General features: G+C 36.4%; 1 protein-coding gene across 2 annotated transcripts in view; it reads left to right on the top strand.

Annotated features, from left to right (window-relative positions):
* The window catches only part of KPNA3 (karyopherin subunit alpha 3), a 93,363-nt gene that overhangs the window by 76,651 nt on the left and 2,803 nt on the right, over positions 1–13,909 (top strand). For both annotated transcript variants that reach the window (NM_002267.4, XM_017020561.2), the window contains exons 11-16: positions 5,010–5,141; positions 6,332–6,460; positions 9,660–9,764; positions 9,863–9,934; positions 10,249–10,411; positions 13,552–13,646. In NM_002267.4, the coding sequence (NP_002258.2) occupies positions 5,010–5,141; positions 6,332–6,460; positions 9,660–9,764; positions 9,863–9,934; positions 10,249–10,411; positions 13,552–13,646 (696 nt within the window). The remainder of the gene's footprint in view (positions 1–5,009; positions 5,142–6,331; positions 6,461–9,659; positions 9,765–9,862; positions 9,935–10,248; positions 10,412–13,551; positions 13,647–13,909) is intronic.

Below are 13,909 nucleotides of genomic sequence, written 5' to 3'. Positions count from 1 at the left end.
TATTATATTAGTTAGAAAAAAAAATAGTTTTCTGCTAATAGTAGTGACCATGTAATGGAGAAACATCTTAAGGCATCATGTTGTTTTGCACAGGATTCTGTTTTGTGGACACAGTTTATTTAAACACACTATTATGGATAGGCATTTAGGCCATTTCCTGAATTTTGCAAATGTAAAAGTATTATACCAATGACTATTGTGTGTTTTCATATTATTGGAGGTATATCTTCAGGGTATATTCTTAGAAGCAGGATTGCTGGGTCAAAGAGTAAATGCATTTGTAATTTCGTTGCATACTGCCAAATTCCCTGCTGTAAGGGTTGTGCCATTTTGCCTTGGTATCTGGGAAGGTTTGTATTCTTGTTCTAGTGGTTGCCTTTATTGTGGTTGCCCTTATTCTTATATCTTTTCTTTTTTACTGTTTTGATAGTTTTAAATGACATTTTTCGACTCCTTTATCTATTATGTAGTGTATGCAGTATGCATTCAAAAGTGAAAGTGACTTTCTCAGTATCCTTGCCAATAGAGTGTGTTGTCACATTTAAAATTTTTGCTCATCTGATAGGTGAGAAACAGTATCTCAGTTTTAATTTGCATTTTACTTTTTATGAATGACGTTGAACATTATTTCATTTGTTTAAGGGCCATTTTAATTTGTATCTTTGCGAACAGACTAGTCATATTTAATGTCTGTTTTTCTGTAGGATTTTTGGTCTTTTTCTTAGGTTTTAAGAGTTCTTTATATATTAAGGATATTAGTTCTGCCATACTTAAAATACTTCCCTAGTTTGTCTTTTGTCTTTGACTATGATGTTTTGCCATGTGAACTTTTTGTATATAATCAAATTCATCAATTTTTTTTAATTGTATCTACATTTTGTCTGAACTATAGATGTTTTATGTTAGAGAAATATCTATACATTCCTTTTTTGGGTGTTCTATCAAGGACACTGAAAAAATGTAATGAATTTTTCAGTGTCTGTAGAGAAAATTCTATTATTTTCTCCTTAAATCTATTAATAAAACTTATATTAATGATATTTTTAAAAATTGAACCATCCTTGCATTCTTTGAATCATCTCACTTGATCATTATATGTTAGTTTCTCAATGTAGTATGTGATTCTGTTAATAATATTTTATTTCAGATTTTTACATCAGCATTCACGTAAGTGATATTGGTTTGCAGTTTAGCTTTTGTTCAATTTATTAGGCAATAATTTACATTAATTACAAATATTAATATTAAATTTAATTATGTTAATACCATTAGTTAATGGTGCTATAATCATGATGTATTAAGTTTTATACTTCTATTGTTTTATTAAAGTTGAGGTGTTAATGTTATGCTTCCTTCATTTTCTGTACTCTGGAACAATTTATATAGCATCAAGTCTGTCTGACCTTTGAAGATTTGATAGTTTCCCTCTTAAATCCTTTGGGGATTTGGTACTTTTTTGTGGAGTTAGTTTCATGATAATTTTCTTTATTTTTGATATGGAAGTTGGCTTGTTTAAGCACTCTTTCTAAAGAAGGTCAGTTTTTATAAACTATTGTTCTAGTAAATTATTCATTGCATCTATGTTTACTTGCATTAAAGTGTGCAGGGTAGTTTTTTGTTCTAATTTATTATTTTAAGGGTTATTTTATCATTTCTGATTTTGTGTATTTGTGCCCCCTCCCTGCTCTTTTCTAATTAAGTTAGGTAGGACTTTTTCTTAGTTGTTTTTTTGTTTGTTTTTTGTTTTTTTCAGAGAACCAGGGTTTCAGTTTATTAGTTAGATCTATGATTTTTCTATTCTTTATCTCATTACTTTTGTATTTTTCATTGACTCATCATAATCACCCAAAATCCGTAGTTTACACTGTTGTTCACTCACTCTTGCTGTTGTGCATTCTATGGGTTCAGACAAATTTGTATAAATTTTTAAGGCTATGAATTTTCCTTTAATCACTGTTTTAAATAAATGTCATAGATTCTGATGTGTGGCATTTTTGTTTTAACTTTTTAGAAATTTTGTTGAGTTTAGGCCAGGCGTTTTGGCTCATGCCTGTAATCCCAGCACTTTGGGAGGCTGAGGCGGGTGGATCACCTGAGGTCAGGAGTTTGAGACCAGCCTGGCCAACATGGTGAAACCCCATTTCTACTAAAAACACAAAAATTAGCTGACTGTGATGGCACGCGCCTGTAATCCCAGCTACATGGGGCACTGAGGCAGGAGAATCACTTGAACTTAGGAGGCAGAGATTGCAGAGAGCCAAGATTGTGCTACTACACCCCAGCCGGGGTGACAGAGTGAGACTCTGTCTCAAAAAGAAAAGAAAAATAGAAATTTTGTTGTTGGGTTTTTCTGTTTTGTGTGTGTGTGTGTGTGTGTGTGTGTGTGTGTGTGTGTGTTTCACCTAAGAGCTGTTTAATATAAGGCTATTAAATTTCTATATAGAAAAGCCTTTTTGGTTTTCATTTTATTAATGTATAAGTTTTTTGCCTTGTGATAGGCTTATAATGTTTCTGACTTAGGTAATTTATTGATGTTTTCTTTGAACCTAATATGATATTTGTACATGTGCAAGTTGTAGTTGCCATTATCAGGGTATAAAGTTCAATATATATTCATAAGAGTTATACCTTTATTTTTTGCCTATTTGACTTCCCTCATATGACAGTAGTATGTTAAAACCTCCTATTATTAGTATGTTTTTACATATATTTGTGTGTGTGTGTGTGTGTGTGTTTATTCTCTGCTTTAAAACAGTGATTGCAGGGCTATTTGGTTAATAGATGTTTATAACTGTTGTATTTTCATGATAAATTGTGGGATTTAACTTTGTAAAGTATCCTTTTTTCTTTGTAATTCTTTTTAGATTAAATTCTACTGGTCGTCTTTTAACAGGGTTACAACCTCAGCTTTCTTTTTATCATTTACTTGGCATACTTTTGCTCATCCCTTTATTTTTAGCCTTTCCAAATTCTTTGTTTTATGTGTGTCTCTTGTATACAGCGTGGAATTGGGTTTTGTTTTGAGAGCCAGGGCCAATTTGAAAATCTTTTTTTTTTTTTAATAGGTTAGTTAGGCCCATTCACATAGGTTGATAGATTGATTTGAACTGTCATTTTGTGAAATAATGTCCCTGTGTTTTTTTTTTTCTCTGCTAAGCATACTTTTGTCTTTCTCAATTTTCTTTTGGTATTTGGGGAAGTTTGTATTTTTGTTCTAGTGGTTACCTTTATTCTTACACCTTTTTAATGCTCTCTTACTATCTGTTTTGACAGTTTTAAATGATATATTTTTTTACTTCTGTCTCTTACCTGTGCAATGATGCATGAGCTTATTCTATTTTCTCTTCTTGCCTCAACCTCCCATTTTTTAATCTGATTCTAGACTTATCTATTTTGCCAAATTTGGAACATATTTCTTCATATTTTTTTCAGCTCCGCCTTTCCTTGTAGGGTCTCTGAAGACACAAATATTAGATCTATTGTTATTGTGCTGGAAGTTCCTGAGAGTTAATTTCTGTTTAATCTTTTTTTTTTTCTGTTATTCAGTTTGGATGATTTCTATTGATGTATCTTTGGGTTCATTTATTTTTTTTTCCCCCTTCTATCATGTCGGGTTTTTTTGCTGAGAATTCCCACTTTAAATTTGTTTCAAATGTGTTCATAATTGTTCACCAGTGCATTTTTATGATAGTTACTTTAAAATCTTATCAAGTCCTTGTCAGATAATTCCAATATGTGTGTCATCTCAATATTGGCATCTGTTGACTGTCTTTTCTCTTTTGAGAATTTCCTGGATCTTGGTATGAAGGGTTATTTTCCATTGTAGCCTACACATATTGGTGTTATGCTTTGAGACCCCTGTTTCTAGGTAAATCTAGTTACTGTTACTGCCAGGGTGGGCAGTAGCCAGACTTTGTTCTCAGACCCAGCATCTGCAGACACCTCCAGCAGGGAGGCCTCCTCACTTCCAGAGTGGGAAATGGGCTGGTAGGTGGGCTCAGCTCTTAGGCCCAGCTTCTGTCCTCTCTTTTACACAGTCTTGAGGCAAGAGGTCCAGACAAAAGCTAGAATTTAATTTTTTCTCCTCTTACAGATAATGGAAATTTTTAGTGTTCTCTGACTCTTAGTAATGCTGAAGGGGTGTGGGTTATATGTGTAGTTCTATTTTATTTATTCATCTATATCCTTTTTTGAAGGGTATGTGAATTCAGGTGCCTGCTATTATTTTAGGGCAAAAAGATGTGATGTCTTCAATTTGGATGACCTAATAGGAAACATCTTGATTTTGCATAAGCTACAACCAGTGCTTATATTCCTCTGTGACGACACCAAGCAATGCCACATACAAGATCTTTGACCTTGAATGAATCACCAGATCGCTAAGCCTGTTTTCTTCTATGTAGTTGCAAAGTTAGGATAGGCCTAGGGCATGGTTTATACTCCAGGTTTATACTTCAGTTGGGGACACATTTCAGGAGATTTTCAAACAGTTTTTTCCCCAGATGAAGTTAAAGTGCCAAGTCATTTCTTTTATTGGTTTACTTTAGTAGCCTGAAAAATTGTATTGCTAAATATGTTGGAAAACCAGTAGAGTAAATAGATGACCTTTCTGTTCTCTTCTGAACTTGAAACAGTATGGTGTGTTGGCCTCATTCTTGTAAATAGTGTTTTTCTGTGGGATTATTAGGTAGCTAATTTGTGAGGGCAGGGAGAATTACTTTTCTGCCTGTTTTTAAATTCATCTGTCTGATACATAAATGCAGAAGTTGGAATAGAAGTTTTCCCAGACTTCTGTGTCTCATTTTCTGTGAAGAATGATCTGAGGTAGGCACTGAAAGAAAGATAAGGTACTTTCTACTTAATAGATTAATCAGCTAAGCAGATATTTTTGCCACTAAGCTAAAACTTGAAATTTGGTTACTTTTTCTGTCACTACTCCTGAGGTGTGTTGAACAAGTAAAGCATTCAAACAAATATGTAAAATGGTTTTTCTTTTGTGTTTCCTGTAGATTCTTGTAGACACTGTTTGGGCTCTGTCATACTTGACAGATGGAGGTAATGAACAGATACAGATGGTTATTGATTCAGGAGTTGTGCCCTTTCTTGTGCCCCTTCTGAGCCATCAGGAAGTCAAAGTTCAAGTAAGTATTTTTAAATTTTTCTTATTTGTATACAGTTGTGTTTGCTATAACCAGTTAACTTGTACAGCTAGGCTTTAATTCTATCTGTAAGTGCTTATCTTCCACATTTCTTCTGCTAGTCCCTGAGCCTGATTTTGTTGATTTCCAAATCTTTATCTCACCCAGTTTCTTTGCTGAGTTCCACACTTGTATAGCCAATTGTTCTTGACCCTTTATACATATCATCTAAGAACTCCTTCAAGCTTTCCGTGGTTAACTAGACAGAAATGAAACGATCATCTCCCACAAACCTGCTCTTCTTCCTTGTCTACCTTCAGTGAACAGCATGGCCTAAGCTAGAAATTTTGATTCCTCCTTGCAATTCCCATTCCATTACAAAATCATTTCAATTCTTCTTATATAGGTTCAAATCTGTCTCTCCTTATCTATCTAGAACAACAGATTTAGTTCAAGACTCTATCTTTCCCCCAAATAATTGCAATAACCTAATTGCATTTCTTCTTTCTCTCTCCCACTCTAATTAGGGGTAGGCACTTATTAGATCTGTTCATCCTGCTTTACCAAAGTGACTTTCTAGGTGGAAGTGTGTGCCCATTCCAGGCGTTTATTAAAATATTATATATATTTTTGAGATGGAGTCTTGTTCTGTCGCCCAAGCTGGAGTATGGTGGCGCGATCTCTGCTCACCGCAGCCTCTGCCTCTCAGGTTCAAGTGATTCTCCTGCCTCAGCCTTCAGAGTAGCTGGGATTACAGGCATGCACCATCACACCAGCTAATTTTTGTATTTCTAGTAGAGATGGAGTTTCACTATGTTGCCCAGGCTGGTCTTAAACTCCTGACCTCAGGTGATCCCCCCCGCCTCGGCCTCCCAAAATGCTGGGATTATAGGCATGAGCCACCATGCCCAGCCTTAAGAAACTGGACTTCTTCTAAAATTTTAATTTCCTTTTATTTTTTGAATCTTTTTCCAACCAATTTTCACACAATTTTTTTTTTTCATAAAGTTTCAGTTTTTCACAAGAGACTATTTAAAATTCAGAATAGCTCTCAGACTGCTTGGTGCTTTGTGAAAGGATGAAATAAGTGTTATTTATGCCTTGCATTTTTACTTTTTCTCAGGATTATGAAAAATATAGAATTAGTCTTATAAGCAAATAAATTTATAGAAAACATTTTATCCCCACCCTAGACAGCAGCCCTCAGAGCAGTTGGCAACATAGTGACTGGCACCGACGAGCAGACCCAGGTTGTTCTCAATTGTGATGTCCTGTCACACTTCCCAAATCTCTTATCACACCCAAAAGAGAAGATAAATAAGGTAAGGCATATAATGTCCTCATTATGCTATTTCTTTCTGTGTCTCATTTTTAACTGTCTCCTTGTTTCTATTGCTACTTGTATGTTTTTCTTAAAAGCCACTGCAGCGAAGATGAGAATTATTTTAAATCACCTCTGCAAATGTTTTTCTTCAACTTTTTTTTTTTTTTTTTTGAGACAGAGTCTGTCTGTTGCCTAGGCTGGAGTGCAGTGGCACGATCTCGGCTCACTGCAACCTCTGCCTCCTGGGTTCAAGCGATTCTCCTGCCTCAGCCTCCCGAGAAGCTGGGACTACAGGTGCCCGCCACCACGCCCAGCTAATTTTTGTATTTTTAGTAGAGATGGGGTTTCACCATATTGGCCAGGCTGGTCTCGAACTCCTGACCTTGTGATCCGCCTGCTTCAGCCCCACAAAGTGCTGAGATTACAGGCGTGAGCCACCGCGCCCAGCCTTTTTCAACTTTTAATCGCTTCTGGTAGGTGCTGCCCTGGTCATCACAGAGTAAAAAACATTTTTAGACTACCTGTGTTTCTATTTAAGTAGACTGAGCATAGCAACAATCATTAAATTAGTAGCCGCTTGAAAGTGCAGACAAAATCTGCCATTTGAATGGGCTGGTATTTTTTTAAACAAACCGATCATAAAAATTTTGATCTCCCAGCAAAATTAGTTTGGACCCAAAGACGAGGTGCCTAAATTCAAGGATCATAAAAAATTACTCTTTTTAAGATTTCAAGCTTCATAGACAAGTTTATTATTAATTGTGTAATATGTACTTACTAGTATGTAATAAGTCTTCATGCCTGGCTTATTTCATCTAGCATGTTTTCAAGGTTCATTCATTTTGCAGCATGTGTCAGAACTTTATTCTTTCTATGGCTGAATAAATATTCCATTGTATGTATACACCACATTTTGTTTTTACATTCTTCTGTTGATGGACACTTCGGTTGTTTCCACCTTTTCACTATTACGAAGAATGCTGCAGTGAACATTGGCATACAAATACCTATTTGAGTTCCCGCTTTCAATTTCTTTGGATATATAACTGCAAGTAGAATTGCTCGATCATATGTTAATTCTGGGTTTAGCTTTTTGAGGAACCACCAAACCGTTTTCCATTGCAGCTGCACTGTTTTACATTCCCACCAGCAGTGTTACTAGAATTCTAATTTCTCCACATCCTAGCCAACGTTTATTTTCTGTTAAAAAAAATTACTGACAATCCTAGTAGATGTGAAGTGGTGTCTCATTGTGGTTTAAATTTACGTTTAGTTGGCCAGGCATGGTGGCTCATGCCTGTAATCCCAGCACTTTGGGAGGCCGAGGCGGGCAGATCACGAGGTCAGGAGATTGAGACCATCCTGGCTAACACAGTGAAACCCCGTCTCTACTAAAATTACAAAAAATTAGCCGGGTGTGGTAGCAGACGCCTGTAGTCCCAACTACTCAGGAGGCTGAGGCAGGAGAATGGCATGAACCCAGGAGGTGGAGTTTGCAGTGAGCCAAGTTTGTGCCACTGCACTCCAGCCTGGGCGACAGAGCAAGACTCTGTCTCAAAAAAAAAAAAAAAGGAAAAAAGAAAAAGAAATAAATTTACATTTAGTTTACTAAAGTTTTATCTGCCTAATATACTACCATCACCCAAACCCAGCAGAACTGATCATTTCTTCTTCGTCATCATAACTATATTTGTATAGTTGCTTGAGTATAATTTGACTGTTGGGTTCTTATAGAAAAGTATGGTGTCAAAAAACACATTTTATAGATACATTTGTTCCAGTGAAGACAAAGAAGCCAGAGACTTTCAGACTCTGGGCCAGTTACTTTTACTAAAGAAATTTTTAACAATATAGGTGATTTTTTTTTTTTTAGCTAAATGAATATATTCCATAATTGGAAACAACTGAGAAGTGAGGAAGCTGGGCAGAAGTCAGCAGAGAAAGGTTCCGGCCTGTGATGTAGTATGCTTTTAAGTGAGGGTATCGTGGGGGGTAGAGGAAAATTTCATAGAAATGCCATCTCAACTTCAGCAAGCAATTAGTTACTTCAAAAATTTTTTGCCTTGAAAATTTGTTACTTGCATTTTGAGACTATCATAGGACCCTGGAAGTAGAAGTTACCAACTTGATTTTCTTCCCTCAGCATTTCTGTTTGAAACTTTTTAAATCTACAAAAAATGTGCAAGAATAGTATAGTGAACACCCATGTACTCTAAACACAGATTCAGCAATTATTAACAACTTACCACAGTTGGATGGCAAAACAAATTCATTTGTGGAAGAGGAAGATACACATGTGATACTAACCTGTAAACAGCTCACAGACGTGTTTATGACTTATAAATCCCTTAGTTTTAGAATATTTATGTTATATAGACCCATGCTAGACTAGTTAGATGGTTAATTTTTATGGAATACTTGAATGACTATATCTTGTGAGTAAATATTTTTTAAAATTAAAAAAGAAATCACCTTTATTAGAAGTAGTTTTTAAGTAGTTTTAGAAATTCAGTTGTATAGTGGCTGGGCGCGGTGGCTCATGCCTGTAATCTCAGCACTTTGGGAGGCCTAGGCGGGTGGATCACGAGGTCAGGAGATCGAGACCATCCTGGCTAACACGGTGAAACCCCGTCTCTACTAAAAATAGAAGAAAATTAGCTGGGCGTGGTGACAGGTGCCTGTAGTCCCAGCTACTCGGGAGACTGAGGCAGGAGAATGGCGTGAACCCGGGAGGCGGAGCTTGCAGTGAGCCGAGATCACGCCACTGCACTCCAACCTGGGCGACAGAGCAAGACTCCGTCTCAAAAAAAAAAAGAAAAGAAAAAAGAAATTCAGTTGTATATTTATTTCTGTCTTTTAGAGGAAGCTAATGCACAGACATGTAAGCTCCATGAATAAAGATTTCTGTTTTGTTCATTTCTATAAAATCACCATTTCCTAGAATAATGCCTAGCTTATAGTAGGCCTATATATTAATGAATGGATAAATGCCAGGTTATTGGAGCCCAAATATAATTAATGGAAATTTCCTTATAACTTGTTTAAAATGGAAGATTTTGTATACCTAATCACTTTTTAGGTGCAGTCTCTTTAACGTAATTCAGGTGATTTTGTTATTGTCTATATAAAATATATTAGAAAGACATTAAAGGTATTATTTTTCAAATAAAGGTGCCCTATATTTTGTTCAATTATAGGAAGCAGTGTGGTTCCTTTCCAACATAACAGCAGGCAACCAGCAACAAGTTCAAGCTGTAATAGATGCTGGATTAATTCCTATGATAATTCATCAGCTTGCTAAGGTTGGTCATATTATGAGTTCACCGTGTCTGTTAATCTGTTAATAACCAAGACTTTTTGGATAAAGAGTCCATTTTATGATCTCATTTTTAACCTTCAGGGGGACTTTGGAACACAAAAAGAAGCTGCTTGGGCAATCAGCAACTTAACAATAAGTGGCAGAAAAGATCAGGTGAGTTTGAAAACCTGTAACTGTCATGATTGTTAATACTGGAAAGCATGCTGCTCTCTTATGTTTCGTAGTTGCTGACTGTATTGTGTTCTTTTTGGGGAAAAGATAATTATTATTATTTTAAGAGATGGAGTCTCACTATGTTGCCCAGGCTAGAGTGCAGTTGCTATTCACAGGCATGACCATAACGCACTACAGCCTCCAACTCCTGGGCTCAAGATAGCCTCCTGCCTCAGCCTTCCATGTAGCACGACACCCTACTGGGAAATAGATAATTATATAAATAAAAATATTTCTTCTCTTTTGTTGTCTAGGTTGAGTACCTTGTACAGCAGAATGTAATACCACCGTTCTGTAATTTACTGTCAGTGAAAGATTCTCAAGTGGTTCAGGTGGTTCTAGATGGTCTAAAAAACATTCTGATAATGGCCGGTGATGAAGCAAGCACAATAGCTGAAATAATAGAGGAATGTGGAGGTAAGAGTGGATTGATGGAAGAAGAGTATTTGAGCACTGGAACTCTGAAACATAAGTTCTTTAAAGTCAACTTACTAGACAGAAAATTACTAGGATACGTTGTTTTTAAATGATCACAGTATGTTGCTTTTCTTTATTCACTATATTTGCATTCCAAGAGGATTTTCCAGAAGACAGTAGTCCATACTTTGCAAAATCAGGTTGTGAAAGTCACTGTATAGCCTTCTAGAGATTGACAACATAGCTTTTTTTTTTTTTTTTGGAGACAGAATCTTGCTCTGTCGCCCAGGCTGGAGTGCAGTGGCACAATCTCAGCTCATTGCAACCTCTGCCTCCCGAGTTCAAGCAATTCTCACACCTCAGCCTCCCAGGTAGCCGGGATTACAGGCGCACACCACCACACCCAGTGGATTTTTGTGTTTTTAATAGAGACGAGGTTTCACCATGTTGGCCAGGCTGGTCTCGAACTCCTGACCTCAAGTGATCCACCTGCCTCAGCGTCCCAAAGTGCTGGGATTACAGGCATGAGCCACTGCGCCTGGCCTGACATTGCATTTTAGGAAACACTAATACTTCTCTTGAAGTCACAGTGCATGACAGCAAATTTAAGAGCCCTTACAACACTACATAAATTTTAAAGCTTTATTTAATCCAGCATTTCTTAAACTTCTTAACAATGAAACACTTTTTTTGTGTGTTATTACCATGTAATTCTGTGGACCCCACTTTAGGAAATATTATTTCATATAGTTGGAAAAGGTTACTGACTTCTGAGTCACCTAGATATTTTGTTTCAATCTTGTAATGATTCTTAGGATTTCCACAACTACATCCTGAAGTTATTACTGTGGCAGTTACTTTGAAATTTTAATGAGAAATAATTGTGATTTGACATACTGTATTATTCTTTAATGACATGTGAAACATATGTTAAAATTCTGTTTTTAAATGTACATGTTCAATATGTACTAACATGTTTAAACCTTAAATTAGTTTATCATAATGTCATGTTTTAGATTTTACATTTCATTGACTACTTTATATGAATATTCTATTGTTTATTTATTTATTTATTTTAAGAGAAAACAAATGCAGTAGTACCGTAGAATATTCAGACTGGGAGGATTTCTTTCTTTCTATTTATTTATTTATTTATTTATTTATTTATTTATTTATTTATTTATTTTTTATTTATTTATTTTTTTTTTGAGACAGAGTTTCGCTCTTGTTGCCCAGGCTGGAGTGTAATGGCTCACCGCAACCTCCGTCTCCCGGGTTTAAGCAATTCTCCTACCTCAGCCTCCCTAGTAGCTGGGATTATAGGCATGCACCACCACGCCCGGCTAAATTTTTGTATTTTTAGTAGAGGCAGGGTTTCTCCGTGTTGGTCAGGCTGGTCTTAAACTCCCAACCTCGGGTGATCTGCCCGCCTCGGCTTCCCAAAGTGCTGGGATTACAGGCGTGAGCCACTGCACCCAGCCGGGAGGGTTTCTTGAGAAGAAATTATCCCACAGATTTTAAGGAGTCTTGTCCAAGGTGACAGAAGTAGGTTGTGATAGAAGCAAAGTTAAAATCCAGATCTTCTTACTATTAAGATAATTAAAAATTGTAGTCAGGTTCATAACACAGTAAGTTTGAGCAACTTAGAGAATTACTACTCTTCAGCTTTTTATCAATATAGTTACTTTTGTCTATAGGAGTAATAGGATACATATTAATATTTTATAATTGTATAAAGCACTTTGGCAACGATTTCCCCCATTCTTTTGGTTTATTAGTATATAAGAAAAAATTGCAACTATTTTAAAATAACCTTCAAAAAGACATTTCAAGGAAGAATATTAAGGTGTGAAATTGATAAACATGTATATGATGTGTGGAGTAAATATATTGGAAATATAAATGAAGGCATTCTATGATATCTGTTCTGGAAATATTTTCTCCCAGGTTCATTGTGGCTATAGGACATAAGACCTCTATTCATTTTTTAAAGAAAGTTTTTCAAAATTTAAATCTTTATATCTTTTATACCAATTATAAGGTTCTAAAAACTCATTTTGTGGTTATATAAAGGTAATAACATTTGGAAAACAAAGAGAAAGATACAAATTACTTTATGAGGCAGTAAGATTAATAAGATTGGCCGGGTGCAGTGGCTCACTCCTGTAATCCCAGCACTTTGGGAGGCCAAGGCGGGCGAATCACGAGGTCAGGAGTTCGAGACCAGCCTGGCCAACATGGTGAAACCCCGTCTCTACTAAAAACACAAAAAATTAGCTGGGCATAGTGGTGGGCACCTGTAATCCCAGCTACTTGGGAGGCTGAGGCAGGAGACACTTGAACCCAGGAGGTGGAGGTTGCAGTGAGCCGAGACGTGCCACTGCACTCCAGCCCTGGCTACAGAGTGAGACTCCGTCTCAAAAAAAAAAAAAAAAAAGAAAGAAAGAAAAAATGCCCAGGCGCAGTGGCTCACGCCTGTAATCCCAGCACTTTGGGAGGCCGAGGTGGGCAGATCACGAGGTCAGGAGATCAAGATCATCCTGGCTAACATAGTGAAACCCCGTCTCTGCTAAAAATAGAAAAACTTAGCCGGGTGTGGTGGCGGGCGCCTGTAGTCCCAGCTACTTGGGAGGCTTAGGCGGGAGAATGGCATGAACCCAGGAGGCGGAGCTTGCAGTGAGCCGAGATCACACCTCTGCACTCTGCACTCCAGCCTGGGTGACAGAGCGAGACTCCGTCTCAAAAAAAAAATAGATTAGTAAATTTATATTAAAGCACTGTGGGGGAGTTGGTTCTAGTACTGTCACAAACTTGCCATATAACTTGAAATAAGTCTCTTTACATATTTATGCCACAGCTTCCCTCTGTCAAATGGATTGTTTGGGTGTTTTTTTAGACTGTCTGCCTCAGGGATCCGGGTACCTCAAGGGCTTCTAAGAAGGAAAAAATTAGTGGGATTCTGGTCCTCCAACTAGAAGCAGCCCCGTGTTTTGTCTGTTTTTTAGACAAACCACTATCTTAGATGGGGGAGCAGTGTGTTCTGAGTTCCTTAGGATTTCTCCATGATTAAAATGAGTGTGGTTTTGATTAGTATCTCCTTATCAATTAACCAGTTATTTTGATTATTTTATTTTTACCAGGTTTGGAGAAAATTGAAGTTTTACAGCAACATGAAAATGAAGACATATATAAATTAGCATTTGAAATCATAGATCAGTATTTCTCTGGTGATGATGTAAGTAGATATTAAAATAGCGTGTATCTTCATGTAAATGAAAACCTATACATGATGTAAATTTACTAAGAGTTTTCCTTTTATTATTAGGATGACATAAGTTTGTACTGTATTTCTATTAGACATTCCATCAGTCACTTTCTCTTAAATACTTTGAAACTTCATTATAAGGTAAAGTTGTAAAAACAGTTCTTGTTTCATTTCTAATCTATTAACTAGGAAGAAATAGTAATTATATAAGTGATATATGTTCAGATAGGTTA

This window comes from Homo sapiens, chromosome 13 (assembly GCF_000001405.40).
Source record: "Homo sapiens chromosome 13, GRCh38.p14 Primary Assembly".
NCBI classification, from domain to species: Eukaryota; Metazoa; Chordata; class Mammalia; order Primates; family Hominidae; genus Homo; species Homo sapiens.
The sequence above is the reverse complement of the archived record's forward strand: the minus strand, read 5'-3'. Positions and strand labels throughout refer to the sequence as shown.